This window comes from Homo sapiens, chromosome 1 (genome assembly GCF_000001405.40).
Source record: "Homo sapiens chromosome 1, GRCh38.p14 Primary Assembly".
NCBI lineage: Eukaryota > Metazoa > Chordata > Mammalia > Primates > Hominidae > Homo > Homo sapiens.
The window spans coordinates 6603348-6624263 of record NC_000001.11 but is presented as its reverse complement, the minus strand read 5'-3'; the positions used below and the strand labels follow the sequence as shown (position 1 = coordinate 6624263).

Sequence of the window (20916 nt, the reverse complement as noted above, 5' to 3'; positions counted from 1 at the left end):
TAGGCTAACCACTCACTGGGGCTTGAGCTAATCCTCAATCTGATGAAGAAACTGCAAAAACCATTCACATCTACTCGTCCTGTGGTTTGTTTCTAAGGAATTCACCAGCAAGGTACCTTAACACCGTGGGCATTTTCCATCCTGCTAAGTGCACACTGAGACGCTGCCTTCCCAGAGACTTGATGTAATCATGCTTTGGGGAGGTAGCAAGGAGAAAAGAAACACAATTGTCCTTCAGCACAGAACGCAATCGCCTGAACCTTGAATCATGAACCTCAAAGTAGCAATATATTTATTTACAAAATATACAGTTTCACAGAAACAGCTTCGCTTTATACACATAAACTTTAAAATTACACAGAACCATGTAAACGATGTGAAGTGTCTGGCCTGGCCAAAGCCAATGGGAGGGCCTACTTTTGGGGTGACATCCCTCCCTCCCCTCACTTCATTAGCCACCAACCAGGAACCACAGATGGGTCGTGCCTAATTTGCATATAAAGAAGCTGATTGCAGCTGCCCAGCTCAATCTAACACAAAAACCAAGGTGTCCGACTTCTTAGACACCACCCACAGGGACAGATCTGCTAAAAGAACAAAAATGCAATCAAGGAAACAAAATGGAGATGAGTATCACATGCATTCCAGAGGCATCGAACCTTCTAGCACACGTGACAGTTGCCAGGGCCGGCAGTTCCATTCTAAAGTCACATGGATTCTTAAATGCACCTTTAAAAGCTTGTGGAATTTTTTTTTTTCAAAGCAGAAAAACACTTTGGAGCGCTGGTTATTCACGTGGTGAAGACACTGGACAGGCGTTATCTCAGGGTAGATCTTTGGCAAATTCCTCTCCAATGCGTCCTGGCTGTTTGCCCTCGTCAGTTTCTAAACCAGCTTACTATTTTTCTCTACCGAACCTCCCCCTTGGGGATCTTCACAATAAACTGGCTTCAGAAACTATTTCTCTCTAGTTTCGTGTTAATACAAGCAACAGAACTTTTAAAAAAATAAGACGGTTGGACAAGTGTGAAAGATACTAGGACAAAAAAAATGCCTCTGATTAGCCAAATTACGGTTCAAGCCCCTTGGTGCTTCAGTGGGAGAAGGTGGGAAGAGTCTGCCTGGTGGCCTGGCACAAAGGTGCCACATGAAGGGGAAGCCCCCAGCAGTGAGAACGCGGGCCCATCCCACTGAAAACAAACATGACTTGCTTGAGCATTCTTCCCTTTCCATGCCTTAAAGAAACAATGCTTATGAAAACCTACCAATCAATTAGAAAATGTTTTGAGAACAAGTACTTGAACTGCTGAAGAGCAGTGTTCATTTCAGAGAAAGCCGGAGCCCCTCTCCCTCCCAGCCCCAGAACTACCAGTGTTCCAGGGCACCCTGCCCTCGAGCAGAGTTCTTCCACAGCCTCCGGCATCAACTCCCAGGTTTTTCCAGAGCTGGCCCTCACAGGGGCCTCCCAGGTCCAGGATCCCAGCTGAGATTTAAGGAACTCGGCACAGTTCCAAGGGGTCATCCTGAAGGCCCATGTTACCCTATCACTCACTCACCAACTCAAAACAGAAAAAGAAAGACTCAAGTCCTAACTGTACCCTGTGGAACCGGCAGGCCAGCCTGTCTAAAGGGCACACAAGAGTCACCCAACGGAGAGGGCTCCCTCCCAGCTCTCCTTTACCCTATTCTTTGGAGGAACACCATGCGGGTCCCAGTGATTGCCTAACCTTTATGCTGCTACCAGAATGAGGTGAAAGGAAGAGACAAAGACAGAACCTATGAGTTCCCACACTCGCAAACAGCTGGCCTGAGCCCACCAAGACCTCACACACCAACTAAGAGGGCACTCAGCAAGAAATCAGCCAATACTTTTGGCTGTATCGTGCAAAAAGACAGGGTTTTTACATCGTGCAAAACAGGAAACTGAGTTATGAACACGGGCCATCTCAACCCCCCAACCAACTCCCTTTCCACAGAGAAGTGGCCACATTGTCCCTTTTAACAAACAGAAGGAAACCTAAGAACCACCAGCTGACCCGCCAGCCCAGCGCCCTTCCAGGGGAGCCCGAGGCCTCCCGCCAGTGCCTCCCCCAGCCGGTCAGGCAGCAGCTGAGGCAGGCAGAGGGCAAGCCACTAAGTAGGGGCAACTTGGATGGCTGCTGTACAGACACTTTTGGTAAAAGACTTAACACTCAAGAAAAAGCTTACACGTATGGCTGTTCATTAACAGGCTGGGGAAACCGAACACCTCTCCCCAACACAGTGGAAGCAGAATAACAGCTGGCACTGAGCCCAATCAGCGGGAATCTCTTAGCAATGATAGCAAAACGCACAGCTACCACGGACCCTCATTTTCAAATGAGCCAAACCCGCTGCACGTGGGTGTCCAGTCCACCTCCACTGCAGGGAACGCAGCTCTGGCAGCAGCTCTGGCTGGCAAAGGTCGCATTCGGTCACCGGCTATGTACAGTTTCTACCTTGGACAGCCTGTCCTTTTGCTTAGGCACCTAAATGGCAGGGATCTGCCCGCACCAGAGCTGAGGGTTCTGTGCTCAACTAAGAGAAGGGCAAAAAAGCCCGCGGTCGCTTCCGATTCCACGCTCGCAGCCTCCTCGCCAGCCAGCAGTCAGTCCAGGAACAGCTTCCGGGAGCCCGTCCGCGAGCGGTTGGAACGGCGGATGTCAAACTTGGAGTCCCGGCACTTTTGGCAGACAAACACTTCTGGAACATTGGATTTCCGGATTTTCGCACAGGACAGGTGAATCCAGGTGTGGCACTCATTACACTCGATCATGGGGCGGCCGGCAAATGGCTTCATGCAGAAGCAGGTCACGAGGTCCCAGGAATCGTCATCTGGAAGGAAAGATACTCTCAAGGAGGGAAGAGAAATTCCCATCATTCCTCGCCATCAGCTGGGCTTCCATGAAACCCATTAACTCTACTGACGAGAACACTTCCAACTGCCACTCGAAGCTGACACTTCTCTCTGAAAAGGCACGAGGGGCTCCAAAATGTGTGGGAACCAGGTATTACCCAGGAGATGCTTACTTTTTTTTTTTTTTCCCTAAGACAGGGTCTCACTCTGTCACCCTGGCTGGAGTGCAGTGGTGCAATCATACCTCACTGCAGCCTCAAACTCCTGCAGTCAAGCCATCCTCCCACCTCAGCCTCCCAAATAGCTGGGACTACAGGCACACACCACCACACTCGACTATTGTTTTTTTTTTTTTTCTTGAGACGGAGTTTTGCTGTCGCCCAGGCTGGAGTGCAATGGCGCGATCTTGGCTCACTGCAACCTCCACCTCCTGGGTTTAAGTAATTCTCCTACCTCAGCCTCCTGAGTAGCTGGAATTGCAGGCGCGCACCACCACGCCCAGCTAATTTTTTCTTTTTTTTTTTTGTATCTTTAGTAGAGTCGGGGTTTCACCATGTTGGTCAGGCTGGTCTCGAACTCCTGACCTCGTGATCTGCCTGCCTCGGCCTCCCAAAGTGCTGGGATTACAGGCATGAGCCACTGCGCCCAGCCTTTTTTTGTATTTTTGCAGTGACAGGGCTTTGCCATGCTGCCCAGGCTGGTCTCCAACTCCTGAGCTCAAGCAATCCACCTGCCTTGGCCTCCCAAAGTGCCGGGATTACTGGTGGAGCCACCGTGCCCGGCCTGGATGCTTACCTGGATGCTTACTTAGAACTATACCCTTTTTATGTTCTAAGGTCTTAGAATCTCAGCTGTCTCTAGTGGCAATCAACCCCTTCCTAAACATCTCGATATCCACATTCCTGCAGCTTTTCTCCTCCTTGGACAGTGGGGCTGTCACACTCTACGGAAGGCACCAGACCCTGTGCCCCAGAGAGATGACCACTTAATAAAATAACCTCTCTTCTAACCACAAGCCAACAAGGGTCATCATCCTTCAGGGACCACTCACCTGAGTCCACCATGATGTCCTCATCATTGCCAGTGCTGTCCTCATCTCGGAACACCACCTGCTTTCCCTGCCGGACGATAGTCCGTTTGCCTTCAGTTTTTATTTCTTTGACCTGATCAGGTGACACAGTGGCACAAGATCCACTCGAGGGAGTATCGGAGTCCCAGCCCGAGCAGGGGTCGCTGGGAGCCTGGGGGATATCCTGCAAGGTGGGACTCGTGGGGGTCTCCACGTAGGGGTCAGCGGCTTCCAGCTTCAGCAAGCCCCCCCTGTACCCCTCTTTCCCAGGCGCATCACTGTCCCTGCGCTTCCTCTTCTTCTTCTTCTTCAGCTTGTCCGTTTTCTTTCTGTCCAGCAGGAAGTTACTGGGCTTGGCTCGCTGCAAGAGAGTAGGCTGCAGGTGGCTAAAGCAGCGGTCAGAGACTGGCAAGGGCACTGAGGACGCGATGTCTGAGAAACCCGCGTCCCAGCCGTCGCTGTCAATGGTACCAGCAGTGCTGTTAGCAGGGCTGGGGCTGCTCCTTAAAGGGAGTTCCTAAAAAGACAAAGGTGGCAGATTCCAGTTACTGGTGACAAGATCCAGCCCAGAGCAGAGCATCCCCAGCCACCCAGCCATGTCAGACCTCCAGAGACATCTGCACAACTTTGAGCTTCTCTGCCCATCAGCATCACACTTGAAGCAACAGTAACATGAGTTCTGGCTGGGCGTGGTGGCTCACACCTGTAATCCCAGCACTCTGGGACGCCAAGGCAGGCGGATCACCTGAGACCAGGAGTTCAAGACCAACCTGGCCAACATGGTGAAACCCCATCTCTACTAAAAATACAAAAATTAGCTGGGCGTGGTGGTGGTGCCTGTAGTCCCAGCTACTTGGGAGGCTGAGGCAGGAGAATCGCTTGAACCCGGGAGGCAAATGTTGCAGTGAGCCACTGCACTCCAGCCTTGGTAACGGGAGGGAGATTCTGTGTCTCAAAAAAAAAAAAACCCAGTGCCATCAGTGCCATGAGTTTAATGTGATGCCACGAAGAGAGAAACTCCCTGCTGAACCCTCAGCCCCATCTTAGAGACAGAAAATTCATCAGTGTGCAACAGGTGTCTGTGGGAAGGAGTGCTGTGGACACCCACTCCTATCTGCTCATTGTTCCCTGATTGTAAAACCTCTCCTTCCATTTGCCCTCCCAAGAGATATATTGTTTTAAGTGAATTTAAATTAGTTTTGAGAATTTCCTGACACTCTTAAAAAACTAGACATTCCAAAATATTGCAGAATCCAAGTAGGTAATTACTGCCCCAAAGCAGTGAAGTAAACTCTATGGTTCATTCAGATCACAAGCATATCATTTGCAAACAGTGGCAACGTCCTCCTTGTCTTGCTAGAAAACAGGCATTAGGCTGGGTGCGGGGGCTCACACCTGTAATCCCAGCACTTTGGGAGGCTGAGGCGGGTAGATCACCTGAGCTCAGGAGTTCGACACCAGCCTGGCCAACATGGTGAAACCCCCTCTCTACCAAAAATACAAAAAAATTAGCTGTGCATGATGGCTGACACCTGTAATCCCAGCTACTTGGGAGGCTGAAGCAGGGAGAATTGCTTGAACCCAGGAGGCAGAAGTTGCAGTGAGCTGAGATCGCACCACCACACTCCAGCCTGAGCCACAGAGCAAGACTCCGTCTCAAAAAAAGAAAAAAAGAAAGAAAAGAAAGCAGGCATTAGCCACCTATGTAGCAGATGGAAATAAACCAATGCTGGCAGTTTGCCTGCTAGAAATATACTGAATGCAGCTGGGCACAGTGGCTCGTGCCTGTAAACCCAGCACTCTGGGAGACCAAGGCAGGAGCATCACTACCTCGAGACCAGCCTCAGCAACACAGTGAGACCTTGTCTCTACAAAAAATAAAATTACGGCCAAACGCAGTGGCTCACGCCTGTAATCCTAGCACTTTGGGAAGCCAAGGCAGGTGGGTCACTTGAGGCCAGGAGTTTGACACCAACCTGGGCAACATGGCGAAACCTTGTATCTACTAAAAATACAAAAATTAGGTGGGTGTGGTGGTGGGCCTGTAGTCCCAGCTACTTGGAAGGCTGAGGTGGGAGGATCACTTCAGCACAGGAGAAAGAGGCTGCAGTGAGCCAAGACTGTGCCACTGCACTCCAGCCTGGGCAACAGAGCAAGACCTGTCGCAAAAAAAAAAAAGCTGGATTGTTCAATTTTGAGCTTAATCGAATACGAAAGAGGCCTGAAGTCTGAGCACCACAGCCGCTCTCCTCCAGTCCTGCCCTGTTCTCAGCAAGTGAAAAAACCTCCTTCATCTACATCAAGTTGCAGCCATGAGTCCCTGAAGACAATCATACGCATTTCGGGCAGCCAGGGAGCTGAGACAGAGGCAGCGTGTGCACTGAGTCCAGCCATCTGGTTGAACCCCAAGCTCCACCACTAATCAGTGGGTGACCTAAGACAAAGTTTTCCCTCTCTATGCCTTAGTTTCCTCAGCTTATAAACTGGAGATAAAAAATAGCACCTACCTCATAGCATTACATAGGCCAAGAATAGTGTCCAGCTATGGTCAACAGTCAGTAACTACAGACCCTTATTAAAAGCAAGCAGACAGCCAGGTGCAGTGGCTCAACGCTTGTAATCCCAGCACTTTTGGGAGGCCGAGGCGGGTGGATCATGAGGTCAGGAGTTCGAGACCAGCCTCGACAACACGGTGAAACCCCGTCTCTAGTAAAAATACAAAAAACTAGCTGGGTGTGGTGGCGCGCCCAGCTACTCATGAGGCTGAGACAGGAGAATCGCTTGAACCCAGGAGGCAGAGGTTGCAGTGAGCCACAATTGCACCACGGCACTCCAGCCTGGGCGACAGAGCCAGACTCCATTTCAAACAAACAAACAAAAAGAGCAAGCAAATATCACATATTTTATTTGTAAATAAACTGAAAGTTTACTAAATCGGCTGGGCGGTAGCTCACGCCTGTAATCCCAGCACTCTGGGAGGCCGAGGCAGGTGAATCACCTGAGGTCAGGAGTTCGAGACCAGTCTGGCCAACAAGGTAAAACCCTGTCTCTACCAAAAATACAAAAAAGAATTAGCGTGGTGGCGCACGCCTGTCATCCCAACTACTGAGGAGGTTGAGGCAGGAGAATCCCTTGAACCCGGGGGTGGAGTTTTACGACACTGCACTCCAGCCTGGGCGACAGAGCAAGTTTCCATTCCAAAAAAAAAGAAAGTTTACTAAATCATTTTCTAGACAAGCCTGCATTTTCTACCAGAGTTTTTACCAGAGTTTTAGAACCATTTCCCCAGCTAATTCAAACTCTCAAGAAACAGATTTCTGCCAGACTAGTGACTGGGGTCACCACAAGCAGCCCCTTCCAAACCTACTGACCCTCTGACCAGTCAGAAGCCCACGAACTTGCGGTGGAGGCACTGGGTTTGACTACTCATCAAGAAAGGTCTCAGAAACTCAGAAGATTACCTCCTTCGGATAAGGGATGTAGCCAGCATAGGCCAAGACAAAGGTGCAGAATTTGTTGAAGTCTTCCACGGTCCTGCGCCTCTTGCAACTGGGGGAGTATTCCTATTAAGGGGAGAGAAAAGGGAATGTGTTTGAAGGAGAGGCTTCCAGGCGGAATCACAGAAACAAAAGGAAGTAAGCTGGAACTTTTGTAGTCAATCACTCAAAAAATACCGTTAGATTTACACAGTCCACAAACAAGATACGGTAAGTTCAGGTCAAGAAATAACACTATTTTCAGAGAGCAGAAAGAGGAGTATTAAGACTTTATGCCAAGAATGCTGGGAAATCAGCTGGGAGATAAAAACTTCTACAAAAGTCTATTTCTTAGTGCTCATGTGGCATTTTCTGACTTTATCTATTAGTTTCCACAGGCCTATCAGGCGAAGCTCTAATAACTACTTTTTTGCTACAGATTTTCCATTCTGAGTATGAACTGCTGCAGCAGCAGCTGGAACTGATGTATGTTAAGTGATTTCAAAAATCAACCACTCGCCGGGCGCGGTGGCTCTCGTCTGTAATCCCAGCACTTTGGGAGGCCGAGGCGGGCGGATCACGAGGTCAGGAGTTCGAGACCAGCCTGACCAACATGGTGAAACCCCGTCTCTACTAAAAATACAAAAATTAGCCGGGCGTGGTGGCGTGCACCTGTAGTCCCAACTACTCAGGAGGCTGAGGCAGGAGAATCGCGTGAACCCGGAGGCGGAGGTTACAGTGAGCCAAGATCGCGCCACTGCACTCCAGCCCGGTAGACAGAGCTAAGATTCCAACTCAAAAAAAAAAAAAAAAAAAAATCAACCACTCATTCTCCAGAGCTCTCGGAGACCTGGACCCTGGAGTTCACTCCTGGCTGACCCTGCCAAGCTAGCGCCACCTGAGGACCCCTCTCTCGTGCTCAGAGGGTCCCCTCCACTGTCCCAGCCAGTCGGGATGCCAGGCACCCAACTATCTCAACTCACAATAAACCAAGAACCTTACTGCGAAGCTTAGTCTTACATTTAAACGGAATAGTGGAGGTTTTTGCTCGCGGGTCCCAGCCCCATTCCATCTAGAAACACCCATCACAAAAAGATATTTTCTCCTGAGAGAAGCACGGAGAGATGGAGCTCTTATTTGCTCCTAAGCAAAACAAGTGTGCCGTATTGCTGTTTATTCGCCCGGCACGTTCCCTGAGGTTCCTTTCAGTGCCTTGTCCGACCCACCCCCATCCTTCCCGAGGTGCTGTTACCCGGCCGCCACTCTGCTGGGGGAGAGCCGGTGGGGAAATGGGGGGCAGGGGTCTCGGGCCGCCCCTCCCGCCGCGAGGAGCAGGCGTGCGGCCCGCGGGTTTTCTTTCGAGAAAGTCGGTGCCCTTAGAAAATTATTTTCTCAACCTGGTTCAAGCAAACCTTCTCCTCTCCCACCCCCTTGGACCCCAGGGCCGCCCACGGAGCGGAGGCGAAGGCCCGCGTTGACCGCGCTCCCCGCACTGGCGAGCCTGCCCAGCCACGGGAACCGCGGGCCGCCACCCGGGCCTCCAACTCCCGCGAAGAACTTTTCTTTCGGCGGGGAACCAGCAGAAGTGGGTCAAAAACCCGAATGCCAAGTGGAGGGCGGCGACGGCCTCGGGCCGGGGGCGCGCGGGAGGCACCGGCGCGGGGACTGGGGGTTCCACGCCGCCCCCACACGGCCCACGCCGCCCGCCCCCCCGGCCGCCTCCTCGGAAAGCAGATGGCGGAGCGGCCCCCACCCGCCCTCCCGCGGCAGCCGCCCCCCGCGACACTCGGCCCCCGAAGGTGCGGGGCCCATCCCGCGAGTATGTGTGAGGGGGGTGCGCCAGGCAGGATTCCGGGGTCCCAGGCCTGGGGAGGCCCTGCGAACCCCCGGGGGCGGCAGCGAGACCGGCGGGCTCCGGCGCCGCCTCCCCTCCCCCACCCGCCCGCGGTCGCCGGACCCGCACCCCCGACCCCAACGAGCCTCGGCTGGGGGGAGGGGACCGCGCGGGGGGGAGGCCGGGAGCCCCGAGGGCCGATCCCCGGAAGGAGGGGGAGTGAGCCGGGGCGGAGCCAGCAAAGCCCGCGGGCGGGGGGCGGGGGCCCGAAGAGAGAGGCCAGCGCGCCGGGGGGCGGTGGGTGGGGGCAGGACTCGGGTCCCCAGAGCGGGTGGGGCCCCCGGAGGACGCGGCCCCCGAGAGCCGTAGGGGGCGGGGGCCGACTGGGCCCCGCGCGGAGTCAGGGGGCGGGGCGCGGGCCACCGGGCCCGGGGGATCGGGGGAGCAGCCGGGGGCCTCGGGAGCCGACCCCGGTCCGAGGGGGGCCTAAAACTCCTCGAGAGCAACCGGAGCCAGGGGCGGGCGGCGGCTCGGACCGCGTCCCCGGGGGCGGGGAAAGAGTAAGCAGGCCGGCGGGGAGGGGCTGGGGGCGCCGACAGGTCCCAGGTCGACGCGAGGCCGGAGAGGGGCGGCCCGGGGGAGAGAAATAGGCGCAACGGCCCTGGGGAAAGGGCGCGGGGAGGACGCGGAGGTCCGCGGAGGGGACGCGGAGGCGAGGCCCGGCGGAGAGGACCGAGCGCGGGCCCGAGCAGGGGGCGGGGGTTGGGCTCCCGGGGGGGCCGACGAGGGGAAAGCGGGGGAAGGGGAGGGCGGCGCTCCGGGCGACCGGGGGTCTGGCTGCCTGAGGACGGCAGGATCGCGGAGGGGGTGGTCGGGGGCGATTCGGACGCACAGCTTCACTCACCTCCGGGTGGAAGGCGGCGGCGCAAGAGTCAGAGTCCATGTTCCGGGCGGGGGGCGGCGGCGGCTGCGAGAGTGCAGGAGCTGGGATGCTGGAGCGGGGCCGCCCGGGGCTGGGGGCTCGGGCGGCTGCGCAGGGCGAGGGCGGACCCGGGAGGGGTCGCCCGGGCTGGAGGTGATGGGGGGCTCAGCGCGTCGCTTCTCAAGCTCTGTGACCCCGGACTGGCGGTTCCACCGCCGACCGGAGTGGACGATGCAGCTCCCGCGGCGGTAGAGGCGGGAGAGTGGCTGCAGGGGGCGGCGGCGGCGGCGGTGAGCGGGAACCCGACCGGCTCCCCGACCTGACGCCCAGTTCGGCTCGTGTCTCGGGAGGGAGGGCGGGAGAGCCGGGAGGCCTGTCGGGAAATGTAGTCTGGGTGGCGACTGGAAGCCAGCGGCGAGGGGGCGTGGCGCGGGAGGCGGGCGCGGTGCCTTGTGGGAGTGGTAGTCCAAGGCCCCGCCAATACTGCGCACAAAGGAAACCTTGGGGACTCCAACCCCCATGAGGCTCCGCGGCGGCGGCCCCGGTGTGTGGAGGCGGGTCTTCTGGACTCGAGGCCGCGCGAGCGGGGGAGGTGCGGGGGCCCGCGCCGGCTCGGCCGCGGGGGGAGGGGCAGTGTGAGCGGTAGCGCCTTGGTCTCGGCGGGCGCGGGGGCGGGAGTCGCTGCGGCGGTGGGGGCGGGGCTGACGGCCCGGGTTGCGAAGGGCGGCGGCGGCTGGCACCTACCCTTCCTCGTCTCCTACTTGGGGTTCGCGCCCCTTTGTGGGGCGGGGGTCCCCGAGGCCTGGCCGGGAGTAGGGGCGGCAGGGGCGGGGACGCTGACGTCGCGGCCGCCCCGGGCATCGCTCCCCGCTCCCCGCTCCCCGCTGAGGGCGGAGTCGCCGCCCGGCCCCCGCTCCAGGCCGGGCTCAGCGAAGTTGTTTTCGCGGCTGCGGGCTTCGTGCGGCTCCCTGCTCCGGGCCCGCGGGGCCGGGACTGGACCGGGCTCTTCTCTAGGCATCTGCGGGATTCACTCGAGGTGGCCGGGTTCGTGCATTAAAAACACCGGGCCAGCGTTGTCAGTGTTCTAAAGAGGTGTGCGTTCAGTTTGCTTTCTGTTGCCGCCTAAGCCTAACCTTGGGACCGGCCGTTTTCCCACTCTCCTGAATATCCTCCGGCCCGCAGGGCGAGGCGGAGACGCGGTGTTTGGCGCTGGCATCGACTGGTACTTGTTTAGTGGTGTTTAACTGGGATGGGCAGTGTGTAAACGCTGGACCGCAGAGTATCCGACAGCTGTACGTGTGGAAGGCTGGCCGGACACGGTGGGGACTGCCCCTATGCGGTGACCAAAAGGCGGTCTGACGGGAACATTTTTAATATTCGAAAGTGGGGGAAAAAGGTAAGTACAAAACGCAGATGATTCAGTAACCTGTTTGGTAGCTTCGAAGAAGTTAAAGGGGAGTGACACAAAATTGAAAATTCAAATTAGAAAACGAACTCTTGGAGATACTAGTAAGATATTTGACAGGCGCCGAATGCTCCATCAAGCTGGCTGTTGCTATTTCAAGGGTTATGATCATTCTGATGAAGATATTTAATAGTTAGGAGATGGTGTTAATCTTAGAAATACTTCTCTGAGCGGCCGGGCGCGGTGGCTCGCGCCTGTATTCCCAGCACTTTGGGAGGCCGAGGCGGGTGGATCACGAGGTCAGGAGTTCGAAACCAGCCTGACCAACATGGTGAAACCCCGTCTTTACTAAAAATACAAAAATTAGATGGGCGTGGTGGCGGACACCTGTAATCCCAGCTACTCGGGAGGCTGAGGCGGGAGAATTGCTTGAACCCGGGAGGCGGAGCTTGCAGTGAGCCGAGATCGTGCCACTGCACTCCAGCCTGGGCGACAGAGCGAGACTCTGTCTCAAAAAAAAAAAAAAAAATACTTCTCTGAGCCTCAGTTTCCTAAGCTGTTAAATTTTAGCGTAGTGCCTGGCTAAATAAATGGTAGCTTACTGTTGTTGTTGTTGTTGTTGTTTTATTATTTCTGCAATATTGTAGCCCATTGGAGGGCTTCCCAAAGGTGATAAATTGAGGTACTTTACAAGATAAAACATGAAATTACTGATTAAAACAGAGACATTGGACTTGGCCCATCGAGACTTGATTAACAACTTCTTATACAATTGCACAGATGATTTAGCCAGATTTGGAATGTTACCTGGTTACTGTGACCAAAGCAGATGCCCCGAAGTTAGCCTGTATTGCCCAAGGTCATATTCACAAGGAGCAACTCGTTTTGCCAGAATAAGAAACACTGCTAAGGTGTTGATCCCGTTGGTAGTTTAAAAATGTAAATACCAAAAAGAATAATTCTTTTTTTTTTTGGAGACAGAATCTCCCTCTGTCGCCAGGCTGGAGTACAGTGGCGCCATCTCAGCTCACTGCAACCTCCACCTCCCGGGTTCAAGCGATTCTCCTGCCTCAGCCTCCCAAGTAGCCTGGACTACCAGCGCCCACCACCACGCCCAGCTAGTTTTTGTATTTTTAGTACAGACAGGGTTTCACCATGTTGGCCAGATGGTCTTGATCTCTTGACCTCGTGATCCGCACACCTAGGCCTCCCAAAGTGCAGGGATTACAGGCGTGAGCCACCGCGCCTGGCCAAGAATAATTATTAGAGGTGAAACCCAAGTGAAAGAAGAGGGATTTTTTTTTTTACACCTCATTATTATCCCCTGTGGTAAATGTGTCACATAATAAACATTAAATCCTTTCCCACACACACACATATTAAGAAATTATCGGGCCAGGCACGGTGGCTCACACCTGTAATCCTAGCACTTTGGGAGGCCGAGGCAGGCAGATCACCTGAGGTCAGGAGTTCGAGACCAGCCTGACCGACATGGGTCAGGGAGGTGGAGGTTGCAGTGAGCCGAGATCACGCCATTGCACTCCAGCCTGGGCAACAAGAGCGAAACTCCATCTCAAAAAAAGAAAGAATGGCCACCCGCCTCAGCCTCCCCCAAAGTGCTGGGATTAACAGGCGTGAGCCACCATGCCAGGCCTAATTTTTTTTTTTTTAAGACAGGGTCTCCGTATGTTGCCAAGGCTGTTCTGGAACTCCTGGGCTCAAGGGATCCTCCCACCCAGGCCTCCCAAATTGTAGAGTTTACAGTCCTGAGCTATCTTGCCTGCCTGGAGTGAATACCCACTCTGAGCAAAAGTTATCACTTGAGTCTGAAAATCTGTCCCCTGACTCAATCCATGTTTGGGATTTTCCTTCCTTGATGTAACCAAGTAGTCCAATATAGGCCTGTGAATTCTAAGCTCAGTTTTGTCAACAAGTCCATTATTCTGAGTAGGTCCTTCATTTCCAATTTGAGAGTTTATTCTTCTTTCTTTTTTGAGACAGTTTCACTCTTGTTGCCCCTGCTGGAGTACAGTGGTGTGATCCTGGTTCACCACAACCTCTATCTCCCGGGTTCAAGCGATTCTCCTGCCTCAGCCTCCTGAGAGCTGGGATTACAGGCATGCGCCACAACACCCGGCTAATTTTTTGTATTTTTAGTAGAGACGGGGTTTCACCATGTTGGACAGGCTGGTCTTGAACTCTTGGCCTCATGTGATCTGCCTGTCTCAGCCTCCCAAAGTGCTGGGATTACAGGCATAAGCCACCGCACCCAGATATTTATTGAATATGTTTTTAGTAAACAGTAATTTTTAGTACATAGATATGACCTGTACCTTCCTGCTACTCCAGTGAAAGAGAAAACTTCAAGAAAAAGGACCTCTTTTGTCTTTCCATTTCCCTTAGAAATACAGCCCTTTGGAGGAAATTTAGACATTAATGTTTAGCATCCTTTCCCTAAATTCAGAAAAAGGACTATACCACTTGTAGTTGACCCAAACGATCTCATAATATGTAGCTGTGGAGTAATAAAGTTGATTTTCTCACGCCTGTAATCCCAGCACTTTGGGAGGCCGAGGCGGGCGAATCACGAGGTCAAGAGATCAAGACCATCCTGTCCAACATGTTGAAACCCTGTCTGTACTAAAAATACAAAAATTATCTGGGTGTGGTGGCACGCATCTGTAGTCCCAGCTACTCCGGAGGCTGAGGCAGGAGAATGGCGTGAACCCGGAAGGCAGAGGTTGCAGTGAGCGGAGATCATGCCACTGCACTGCAGCCTGGCGACAGAGTCAGACTCCGTCTCAAAAAACACAGTTGATTTTCTGTGACAGGATTAGGTTTGTTCAGTATCTCCCGTTTTTTTCATAGGTGTATTGTACTACTCCTGGGCTGCAGGGGGCGAATCTGAAATTCCTTGATTAGTTCAAGAACATTCACCACAGTAGCCAGATCCTTGGAGTCTATGATTCTTTGTTTTCTGCTAAAAACAAAAAACAAACTAATTATACCAACTGCTGAATACTAATTCTCAGATGATTATAGTTACTTAGGAGAGGAGGAAAAAAGCCAACGTTAGCACAGGTTGCAACAAGTTAAAAATACTAAGAATACCATGGTTTCCCGGTAAGTAACTTGAGAATGTGGTTATTTTAATTGAGTTACCAAATATAGCTTCACCTTCCTAAATCTCAGCAGCTACACTGCATCCACTTGAGGGAACATACAAGAAAGCTTTCTGTCTCCCATTTTAGCTCTGTGCTTTAGTGCAGGTGTGAGCATAACCAAAGGTTTGCTTTTCAAATGTTTCAGCTTTTTGTTCAGCTTAATAGTTTTTGTTTTTGTTTTTCTGAGACGGAGTCTTGCTCTGTCACCCAGGCTTGAGTGCAGTGGCGCGATCTGGGCTCACTGAAACCTCTGCTTCCCGGGTTCTAGAGATTCTCCTGCCTCAGCCTCCCAAGTAGCTGGGATTACAGGCGCGTGCCACCGCGCCCGGTAAATTTTTATTTATTTATTTTTTATTTATTTATTTATTTATTTTTTAATTTTTTTTTTTTTTTTGAGACGGAGTCTTGCTCTGTCGCCAGGCTGGAGTGCAGTAGGGTGATCTCGGCTCACTGCAACCTCTGCCACCCCCGTTCAATCAATTCCGCTGTCTCAGCCTCCCGAGTAGCTGGGACTAGAGGCGCACGCCACCACGCCCAACTAATTTTTTGTATTTTAGTAGAGACAGGGTTTCACCATGTTGGCCAAGATGGTCTCCATCTTCTGACCTTGTGATCTGCCCATTTTGGCCTCCCAAAGTGCTGGGATTACAGGTGTGAGCCACGGCACCCAGCCTAATTTTTTATATTTTTAGTAGAGACAGAGTTTCACCATGTTGGCCAGGCTAGTCTCAAACTCCTGACCTCAGGTGATCTGACTGCCTCGGCCTCCCAAAGTGCTGGGATTACAGGCCTGAGCCACTGCGCCCAGCCTTTTTTTTTTTTTTTTTTTTTAGCCCGGAGTGCAGTGGTTCGAACACGGCTCACTATAGTCACTGCACCCTAGGCCTCCTGGGCTCAGGTGATCCCCCTGCCTCAGCCTTCCTAGTAGCTGGGACTACAGGCATGCACCAGCATATCCAGCTTATTTTGTTTTTTGTTTTTGTTTTTTGTTTTTTTGAGGCGGAGTCTTGCTGTGTCGCCCAGGCTGGAGTGCAGTGGCACGATCTCGGCTCACTGCAAGCTCCGCCTTCTGGGTTCATGCCATTGTCCTGCCTCAGCCTCCCGACTAGCTGGGACCACAGGCGCCCGCCACCACGCCCGGCTAATTTTTTATTTTTTTAGAAAGATGGGGTTTCACTGCGTTAGCCAGGATGGTCTTGATCTCCTGACCTCGTGATCTGCCCTCCTCGGCCTCCCAAAGTGCTGGTTGTTTTTGTATTTTTTGTAGAGAAGGGATTTCACCACATGGCCCAGGCTGATCTTGAACTCCTGGTCTCAAACGATCTCCCCACCTCGGCCTCCCAGAGTGCTGGGATTATGGGCATGAGCCACCACGCCCAGCCCAGTATATTCTTAGGAATTCTTTTTACCCTCTGTTTTCTGCCTTGCTCACTTCCGTTTCCAGGAGATGGGAAAAAAGTGAAAATTCCACAAAATCTTCTTTTCAGCTTTTAGTAACTTGAAAACTGTATGAATATGTGTGTGAATCATTTGAAATCATTAATAATTTATAGACCATATATTGTCAGTGTTTCACACAGTGAATCTGACCTACAGATAGAAGAATCAAATGAGTTTCTTGAGTTCATACTGGTAGAATACAAAGGTAATAGCTAAGCTGGACATGGTGGCTTACACCTGTAACCCCAGCACTTTGGGAGGTCGAGGCAGGTGGATCACGAGGTCAGGAGTTAGAGACCAGCCTTGCCAACACAGTGACACATCGTCTCTACTAAATATAAAAATTAGCTGGGCATGGTGGCGCACACCTGTAGTCCCAGCTACTTGGGAGGCTGAGGTAGAAGAATCGCTTGAACCTGGGAGGCAGAGGTTGTGGTGAGCCGAAATTGCGCCACTGCACTCCAGCCTGGGCAACAGAGCAAGACTCTGTCTCCAAAAAAGAAAAAAGAAAGTTAATAGCTAAAGGCTGGGGTGCTGTGGCTCACGCCTGTAATCACAGAACACTGGGAGGCCAAGGGAGATGGATCATTTGAGGTCAGGAGTTGGAGACTAGCGTGGCCAACATGGCAAAACCACATCTCTACCAAAAAAATACAAAAATTAGCCAGGCATGGTGACAGGTGCCTGTAATCCCACCTACTCTCCTGAGGCAGGAGAATGGCTTGAACACGGGAGGTGGAGGTTGCAGTGAGCCGAGATCATGCTACTGCACTCCAGTCTGGGGAATAGAGCAAGACTCTGTTTCAAAAAAAAAAGATAATAACTAATACTATATGTCAAACACTGTTTAAATGTTTTTACTTACCCTATCTCATTTACATATGTAAATGCATTTAATAAATAGAGAATAGCGCAACATTCCTTAAAGAAAAAATGTTTAGATTGGGCACAATGGCTCATGCCTGTAATCCCAGCGGAAGCTGAGGTAGGCAGATCACCTGAGGTCAGGAGTTCAAGACCAGCCTGGCCAACATGGTGAAATGCCATCTCTACAAAAAATAGAAAAATTAGCCAGGTGTTGTGGTGCGTGCCTGTGATCCTAGCTACTCGAGAGGCTGAGGCAGGAGAATCACTGGAACTCAGGAGGCGGAGGTTGCAGTGAGCTGAGGTTGCGCCACTGTACTCCAACCTAGGCGACACAGGGAGACTTCGTCTCAAAAGAAAAAAAAAAAGGAGTTATATATGGTAAGTGCATTATACCTTAGAAAACCTGGAATCTGAAAAAATCAGAGTGTATGATATGATACAAGAAAAGGCACAATAGCTGTGGACGTAATCAAGGCTAAGGAGTGTGTTCCTAAATATTCTTAAAGAAAAAAAAAGAATAACAGCTGCTCTTTTTTTTTTTTTTTTGAGACGGAGTCTTGCTCTGTCCTCCATGCTTGAGTCCCATGATCTCAGCTCATTGTGACCTCCGCCTCCTGGGTTAAAGCGATTCTCCTGCCTCAGCCTCTGGAGTAGCTGGGATTATAGATGTGCACCACCGCGCTTGGCTAATTTTTGTATTTTTAGTAGAGATGGAGTTTCACCACGTTGGCCAGGCTGTAAACAGCCACTTTTAAAATGACCTTAGGGTCTGGCATGGTGGCTGATGCCTGTAATCTCAGCACTTTGGCTCAGCACCAAGACTGGAGGATTGCTTGAGTCCAGGAGTTTAAGACCAACCTGGGTAACACAGCGAAACCCCGTCTCTACAAAAAATTTAAAAAATTAACCAAGCGTGTTGGCTCACGCCTGTAGTCCCAGCTCCTGGGGAGGCTGAGGTAGGAGGATCACCTGAGCCTGGGAGGCAGAGGTTGCAGTTAGCTGAGATTGTGCCACTGCACTCCAGCCTGGGCAACAGAGGGAGATCCTGTCTCAATAAAAAAGGTAACATGGCCAGACCAGGTGGCTCATGCCTGTAATCCCAGCACTTTGGGAGGCCGAGGCGGGTGGATCATCTGAGGTCAGGAGTTTGAGACCAGCCTGACCAACATGGAGAAACCCCATCTTTACTAAAAATACAAAATTAGCCAAGAGTGGTGGTGCATGCCTGTAATCCCAGCCACTCAGGAAGGCTGAGGCAGGAGAATTGCTTTAACCCGGGAGGCAGAGGTTGCGGTGAGCCGAGATCGCGCCACTGCACTGCAGCCTGGGTGACACAGCGAGACTCTGTCTCAAGAAAAAAAAGGTAACGTAATTTTAGTCACCTCTTGCTCTGTCTGCCTTAAATTAGAATTTAAATACCAAAATTAAGTTGTTTTTTAAAATAATAACTATTTGTTAAATCACATCACACATTAAATCACTTTTTAATTTGTAGCCTCAGAATGTTCAGGTAAATCACATTATCTTAAATTGCTTAGGCAATGGCCATTTTTGTAATTTTAATTTTTTTTTTTTTGAGATGAAGTCTCACTCTGTCGCCCAGGCTGGAGTGCAGTAGCGTGATCTCAGCTCATTGTAACCTCCTCCTCCCGGGTTCAAGCTTGAAGTGTTTGAACCTGGAGGCAGAGGTTGCAGTGAGCTCAGATCGTGCCAGTGCACTACAGAGTGAGACTCCGTCTCAAAAAACAAACAACATGTCATCTAGGTGGTTATGTTCATTTTGTTTTTGCTTGCCTGCATTCTCTTTCTGTACTACACGTACATTATCTGTTAATGTTAATTTAAGTTCAAAGTAAAATTAAGAATTCATATCTTGAGAAAAGAAGTATTTCATTGATAACCGGGGCCTACCAGGCATGTGAAACCATGTATATATATAGATAATTCAACAAAGGAATGTGGTGAGAAAAGAAAGGAACCGATTTAGACCTATCAGCTGTGTTAGGAATTTTGAATAACCTACTAACCCAGGCATGCTATTTAGCTCTTTCTTTTTTTCAGGGGTGGGGCAGGCAGAGTGGGAGCAGTGGAACAATGACAGCTCACTGTCATCTGGGCTTATGTGATCTTCCCACTTCAGCCTCCCAAGTAGCTGAGACTAAAGGTGCATGCCACCACGCCTGGCCAATTTGAAAACTTTTTGTTGAGACAAAATATTGGGTCCCACTATGTTGCCCAGGCTGGTCTCAAACTCCTGGCCTCAAGAAATCTTGCCCCAGCCTCAGCCTCCGCGTAGCTGGGATTACAGGCGTGCGCCACAGCACCCAGCTAATTATAATTGTTTTATTTTTAGTAGAGACAGGGTTTCGCCATATTGGCCAGGCTGGTCTCGAACTCGCTACCTCAGGTGATCCACCCACCTCGGCCTCCCAAAGTGCTGGGATTACAGGCGTGAGCCACGGCGCCTGGCCGAAAATGTTAACTTAATAAATTTTTTTAGGCATATGAATACATATAAATCAATTTGGGTCATACAATGAGTAATCTGATTTTTCGCTTTATAGCTCAAACATCTTTCCATTTCAATAAATACATCATTATTCTTCAAGGCTACATAGTAAGACTGAAATATGATGTTTAAAAATCCCTGTTATTGGGAATACAGAAAAACCGTACTCAATCCTCAACTATGGAAACATTATTGATTTAATCACTGGACTTACGCAAGATGGGTAAGCTGACCCAGGGGACGGGAGTTCTTTTCCCTACAAACATTCCACTTCCTGGCTACTCAGCCTTTCTTGTCACAAAGCCTGTGCAAGGAAGCTATTGGCCCTGCTCCTGGGCCCAGGAATGCTGCCGCTGCCTTGAATAGCTGTGTGAACAGTCCTTCTATGGGCAACAGGCGGCCCGCCTGGGTACCTGAATGTTTTCTGATTTGGGCCTGTGCTGCCCATGCTCACCCTGAAATTCAGACCAGATGCATTCTTATGGCAAAATGACGTGAAACTCTTAAGTAGAAGAGAAAGCCTGCGGTTCTCATTTCAGAGGTGGAATAAAAACAAAATGTCTTCTGGAAACGCTACGCGGCCCTAGACCTCGCTGGAACCAGGAAATGATAGCCAGCTCCCATGCGCGTGGCCTGCTCTGGGACCCACGTGGGCGGGCGCCTTCCTCAGGAATGCGTTCTCAAAGGCCCACCGGTGTAGGGGGGCTGGAAAACAGCACAAACCCAAGTGTTCTCTGCAAAGCAGCAGTCCTGGTGGTGAAATAGGGGTCTTTTCTAAAACTGAGCAAAGCCTACCTTCCACTGAGGAAAAAATGGCCTCCAAGGGAGGGCTCTTTTTCCCCTACAAGTGACATTCAAAGTGGTGCTGTGTCTATCGGAACTAAAATAAGGGCGATTCCTTCTTTCACCATTCCCCACCGCAGTACAAGTGACGGCGGGACTGTGCTTAGTGGCGTCATCTAGTTTCAAGGCGGTCTCCTATCTGACTTTGAGCCCTCGCTCTTTATACCCAGTTACCCTCTCGTGGAGTCCGAGCAGCTGCTTCAGGGAGGCCCGGGAGCCCCTAGGGCGGGCAGCCCCGGAGCCTGCAGCTGCGACGCAGACTCGGAAACTACAACTGCGCGTGAAGCCGACTAAAGTTAACGCCTGTGTGATTGAGTCAGAAGCTCCTTCAGGAACACAGGAGTGGGGCCGACTCCTGGAATCCGGCCCCGGGTCGCTTATAAATGCGCCAAGAAAAAAACGTCACCGAAAAACTTTATACGCGTTCTTGCTTTGGTCCAGAATGGTAAAAAGCCTATCCTTTGAGTGTGTCCCGTGATGGGGTTAACTAGCAACCCTTGAAACTAGTGGAA

General features: G+C 51.6%; 1 protein-coding gene and 1 long non-coding RNA gene across 3 annotated transcripts, besides 8 other annotated features; one reads left to right on the top strand and one right to left on the bottom strand.

The window, feature by feature from the left end:
* Positions 1 to 233: 233 nt before the first annotated feature.
* PHF13 (PHD finger protein 13) lies at positions 234 to 10533 on the bottom strand. Of its 2 annotated transcripts, none has more exons than NM_153812.3 (4): positions 10159 to 10533; positions 7406 to 7507; positions 3927 to 4461; positions 234 to 2853 (listed from the first exon to the last, which is right to left on the bottom strand). In NM_153812.3, exons 1-4 carry the CDS (start codon positions 10195 to 10197, stop codon positions 2627 to 2629), a joined length of 903 nt encoding a protein of 300 aa, NP_722519.2. In that variant the 5' UTR covers positions 10198 to 10533; the 3' UTR covers positions 234 to 2626. The 2 variants fall into 2 exon arrangements, with proteins under 2 accessions (NP_722519.2, XP_011539064.1); XM_011540762.2 differs by lacking the exon at positions 10159 to 10533 and adding an exon at positions 8441 to 8934.
* Positions 9345 to 9804: a silencer, noted in NCBI's record as "silent region_170". NCBI's record gives its function as "represses an Ori minimal core promoter by ATAC-STARR-seq in GM12878 lymphoblastoid cells {active_cell/tissue: GM12878}" and the evidence as "EXISTENCE:reporter gene assay evidence [ECO:0000049][PMID:35858748]".
* Positions 9945 to 10034: a silencer, noted in NCBI's record as "silent region_169". NCBI's record gives its function as "represses an Ori minimal core promoter by ATAC-STARR-seq in GM12878 lymphoblastoid cells {active_cell/tissue: GM12878}" and the evidence as "EXISTENCE:reporter gene assay evidence [ECO:0000049][PMID:35858748]".
* Positions 10205 to 10984: a silencer, noted in NCBI's record as "silent region_168". NCBI's record gives its function as "represses an Ori minimal core promoter by ATAC-STARR-seq in GM12878 lymphoblastoid cells {active_cell/tissue: GM12878}" and the evidence as "EXISTENCE:reporter gene assay evidence [ECO:0000049][PMID:35858748]".
* Positions 10877 to 20817, top strand: LOC107984913 (uncharacterized). The gene is made up of 2 exons (XR_001737882.3): positions 10877 to 11572; positions 19617 to 20817. It is a non-coding gene; the product is annotated as an uncharacterized LOC107984913 (long non-coding RNA).
* Positions 11035 to 11084: a silencer, noted in NCBI's record as "silent region_167". NCBI's record gives its function as "represses an Ori minimal core promoter by ATAC-STARR-seq in GM12878 lymphoblastoid cells {active_cell/tissue: GM12878}" and the evidence as "EXISTENCE:reporter gene assay evidence [ECO:0000049][PMID:35858748]".
* Positions 19677 to 20025: a silencer, noted in NCBI's record as "fragment chr1:6664299-6664647 (GRCh37/hg19 assembly coordinates)". NCBI's record gives its function as "represses an EF-1alpha promoter that drives an FKBP-Casp9 reporter gene in an ReSE screen in phorbol 12-myristate 13-acetate-treated (for megakaryocytic differentiation) K562 erythroleukemia cells {active_cell/tissue: K562(+PMA)}" and the evidence as "EXISTENCE:reporter gene assay evidence [ECO:0000049][PMID:32094911]".
* Positions 20440 to 20589: an enhancer, noted in NCBI's record as "active region_88". NCBI's record gives its function as "activates an Ori minimal core promoter by ATAC-STARR-seq in GM12878 lymphoblastoid cells {active_cell/tissue: GM12878}" and the evidence as "EXISTENCE:reporter gene assay evidence [ECO:0000049][PMID:35858748]".
* Positions 20630 to 20789: an enhancer, noted in NCBI's record as "active region_87". NCBI's record gives its function as "activates an Ori minimal core promoter by ATAC-STARR-seq in GM12878 lymphoblastoid cells {active_cell/tissue: GM12878}" and the evidence as "EXISTENCE:reporter gene assay evidence [ECO:0000049][PMID:35858748]".
* Positions 20810 to 20899: an enhancer, noted in NCBI's record as "active region_86". NCBI's record gives its function as "activates an Ori minimal core promoter by ATAC-STARR-seq in GM12878 lymphoblastoid cells {active_cell/tissue: GM12878}" and the evidence as "EXISTENCE:reporter gene assay evidence [ECO:0000049][PMID:35858748]".

What these genes read in the sequence shown, in the direction of transcription:
- PHF13 (XM_011540762.2), bottom strand. Translation starts at nt 8,506, where the DNA reads ATGGGTGTTTCTAGATGGAATGGGGCTGGGACCCGCGAGCAAAAACCT. An exon ending in CTCCACTATTCCGTTTAAAT is followed by an intron (nt 7,508 to 8,440) that starts GTAAGACTAAGC and finishes TCCCCTTAATAG; the next exon opens with GAATACTCCCCCAGTTGCAA. An exon ending in GGACATCATGGTGGACTCAG is followed by an intron (nt 2,854 to 3,926) that starts GTGAGTGGTCCC and finishes CTTTCCTTCCAG; the next exon opens with ATGACGATTCCTGGGACCTC.